The sequence below is a fragment of the Homo sapiens genome, chromosome 2 (genome assembly GCF_000001405.40).
Source record: "Homo sapiens chromosome 2, GRCh38.p14 Primary Assembly".
NCBI classification, from domain to species: Eukaryota; Metazoa; Chordata; class Mammalia; order Primates; family Hominidae; genus Homo; species Homo sapiens.
This window is the reverse complement of record NC_000002.12, coordinates 105,143,664-105,147,060: the sequence shown is the minus strand read 5'-3', so window position 1 is coordinate 105,147,060 and position 3,397 is coordinate 105,143,664. Positions and strand designations below refer to the sequence as shown.

General features: G+C 52.2%; 1 long non-coding RNA gene across 1 annotated transcript; it reads right to left on the bottom strand.

Moving 5' to 3' along the window:
- Window positions 1-1,636: 1,636 nt before the first annotated feature.
- LINC01918 (long intergenic non-protein coding RNA 1918) lies at window positions 1,637-2,948 on the bottom strand. Its single transcript, NR_136172.1, has 3 exons — window positions 2,886-2,948; window positions 2,366-2,572; window positions 1,637-1,810 (listed from the first exon to the last, which is right to left on the bottom strand). It is a non-coding gene; the product is annotated as a long intergenic non-protein coding RNA 1918 (long non-coding RNA).
- Window positions 2,949-3,397: the final 449 nt, after the last annotated feature.

The following is a 3,397-nucleotide window of genomic DNA, read 5'->3' as shown; positions in this document are numbered from 1 at the left end:
CCATGTCTCAGGTCTACACAGTCTCATGTCTACACAGCACTGGGCTCAGGGCCCCCAGATTTGGTCATAAATGGAATAGGCCAAATGCATTTAAGGAATAGGCCAATTGCATTTAATGGAGTGAAGTGCAAAATAAATTACTTAGAAATTATTTTAAAAGAAATTATTTTTCTATGTTGATAGAAGTCCAATAGTGGCTCCATTGAAGGGATAGTGGCTCTGTTGGGGGGGTACTGACTAGAAAGGGCATCAGGGGATCCCTTAGGCCTGTGGAAATAGGCTGTATCTTATTGCAGGGGGCACATAGGCAAAAATTCATCAAGCTGTCCACTGAAGAGTTGTGCATTTTATGTATGTAAATCATATCTCAACAAAAGCAAATGAATTGTTCCTAAATTAACATAGAATTAGTATAGGCTATAACAATTTGTATGGGCTAAAACAATGCGTGTTGGATATAACTTGGTACTCAATGCCAACCTGTCACAGTCTGAATGTTGGTGTCCCCACAGATTCATACGTTGAAACCTAATCCCCAAGGCAACAGTATCAAGAGGTGGGACTTTAGGAGATTAGCTTCTGAACGCCCCATGTCATGAATGGGATTAGTGCCCTTATAAAAGAGGCCCAAGGGAGCCTGTGTGCCCCATGTACCATGTGAGGACACATAGAAGGTGCCATCTATGAAGCAGAGAGCTAGCCCTCACCAGACACTGAATCCACAGCACCTGGATCCACGACTTGCCAGACTCAAGAACTGTGAGCAATACCTTTCTCTTGTTCAGAATCACCCAGTCTAAGGCATTTTGTGATAGCAGACCCAAAAGACTAAGACACTATCATTGGCATGAAGCTTCCTTGAGATGCTAATTATTTCCTAAAGATCCAGAATTAAAAACATAGCTAAATAATTCTTTAAGTCTTCGTTCTGACAATGTCATTGTTTTAGACTGACTATGCCTTACTTAAACTTCAGGTCCTCAGAATGATTTCGGAGTCATTCTCCACAGAATTACATACCCTATTTAAAACCCTACTTCACAAATTAGAGAGGTTTGAGTTAATGACATATAATTATACTTCAACATTTGAGAAATCTTAAACTATGGTAACGACAAATGCAGCTCAGCTGGGTTCACATTATTTTTAATATGATCACTTTCCTTCTTGAATTGTAAAAACAGGGCACAGGGCAAAAAAACCACCAGGTGGGGGACTCCATAGCCCTATTAAAAAGGAGCCCTGGCTGGGCGTGGTGGCTTACGCCTGTAATCCCAACTCTTCGGGAGGCCGAGGCGGGCGGATCACCTGAGGTTAGGAGTTCGAGACCAGCCTGGCCAACATGGTAAAACCCTGTCTCTACTAAAAATACAAAAATTAGCCAAGCATGGTGGCCCACGCCTGTAATCCCAGCTACTCGGGAGGCTGAGGCAGGAGAATCACTTGAACCCGGGAGGCAGAGGTTGCACTGAGCTGAGATCATGCCACTCCACTCCAGCCTGAGAGGCAGAGTGAGACTCAGTCGAAAAAAAAAAAAAAAAAGCCCTGCTGCATGACTTTTCGGGAAGATGATTTTCCAAGCATGTCAAGAAACGTAGGCTTGTCTAGCTGTCTTTTATTAGACTAGAACATAAAACACAGTTTAAGATTCACTTTCTAACCAATAGGGGAAAAGGCGGAGGGTTTAAGAGCTTGTTTTTTGTAAGTTTTACTTCTCCTAAGAAGGTTCATGCCCTCTGGTGCTGGGCTTCCCAACAGCCCTGGGGCTCTGTCCCTGTGTTTGTTCTGAATGGTCAGCCGTCCCTGGGGCCTGGTGAAAGACAATTTTGAAAAACAGCAATTAAAGCATTCTTTAGGTAGGGTGAAAACCCCACGGGAAACTGTGCATCCAGATTGAGGAGCTCCCACAGCCACTTGGCACTGATGGGGTGCTTTCTACACTGCAGATGAATACCATTGCCTGCAGGTCTCTTGGGTGATGTCCCTACAAAAGTGCCTGTTTTGCATCTATTCTTGGTATTATGTTAGCCAAAGTTTCACTTTCCTTATGTTTCTATTTGCTACTGGTATACTGACACTCAGAAGTCAAAGAAGAGTAAGTCTGAAAACTCCCAACTGTCCAATTTAATGAAGACATTACTTTATCATCATCATCACCAAGCATGTATAACCGTCCAGTGCCAGGACTGGAAAAACTGGAAGCAACCCAGCCATCTCAGTGTGATTTAGAGGAATGAAATGCCATTGTGCCCCCTTTCCTGATGAGAAAATTGAGGTAGCTAAATAGAAAGGGGAAGATAAATGTCCCACAGCGGATGTACTTATTCCTGACTTGGCGCACTCTGTCGCTTTTCCAAAGTAGTACCCAGTGAAAAAGAGATGATCTGATAAAGTTGGCACTGCACAGGGATATGAGATGGGAGGTGAGGCAGGGGAGCTGGGATGGGCGACAGTCAGTGATGGTGATGGTGGTGGTGGTTGGTGATGGTGGTGACGGTGGCGCCTGGCCGGCTCCTCTCCCGTTTCTCCATCACAGCCCGTCCTCTCTGCCTCCTCCGTCCCCGCGTGGCCTCTGCCCAGAGAAACAGGATTTGCACCCAAGCCGCACGTCTGTGGGCGCCAAGCTGCGGCGCCCCGCGAGCCTGCACCCCCTCCCCCGACCCCGCGGCCCGGCGGGCCCCGAGCCCCTCTCTGCGTCCCGCGCCCTCCCGGGCGGTGGCCCCGCTCGGCTCTCCTCGCGCCCCCGCGCGCCGGCACCGCCCGAGCATCCCGGGACACGCGTGGCGGGAGGATCTGGCCGGCCCGGCCTCCCCACTGCAGGGAGCGCCCGCGACCCCCAGCCCGCTCCCCGCCGACCCCCCGCGGCCCGGCCACCGGTCACTTACGCCTGCGCTGGGCCCCGCGCGCCCGGCGGCCCGAGACAAAGGCTGCGCGGCCGCGGCGCCGCCGGCTGCTCCCCGAGCCGCAGCTGCCGGGGGCCGGGAGGAGGATGGGGGACCGGGAGGAGGGAGAGGAGGAGGAGGACGGGAGGAGGAGGGGGCGGCGGCCAGGGAGAGCGGGGGAGGGGCCGCCGCGGCGCTGGCCACCCAGCTGCAGCAGCCCGACCCCAAGTCCTCCTCCCGCGGCCGGCCACCCTCCTGGGCGCAGTCCTCCGCGGTCCTCCGCCCCAAAACCTCCCCCGGGAGACTAGGGTACCGCCCCCCGGGGGGCGGGGTGAGAGGAAGAGGAGGGGAAGGAGGAAGGAGGTGTGTGTGTGCGTGCGTGTGTTCCTTCTTAATCGTGATGCTCTCCACCCACCCCCGCGTCCGCGAGCAATCTTATGAAAATGCTCGACTCCCGGCCTCACCTGGTCACCTCTAGGAAGAACCCTCACCTTCCTCCTTCCACCCGCCCGCAC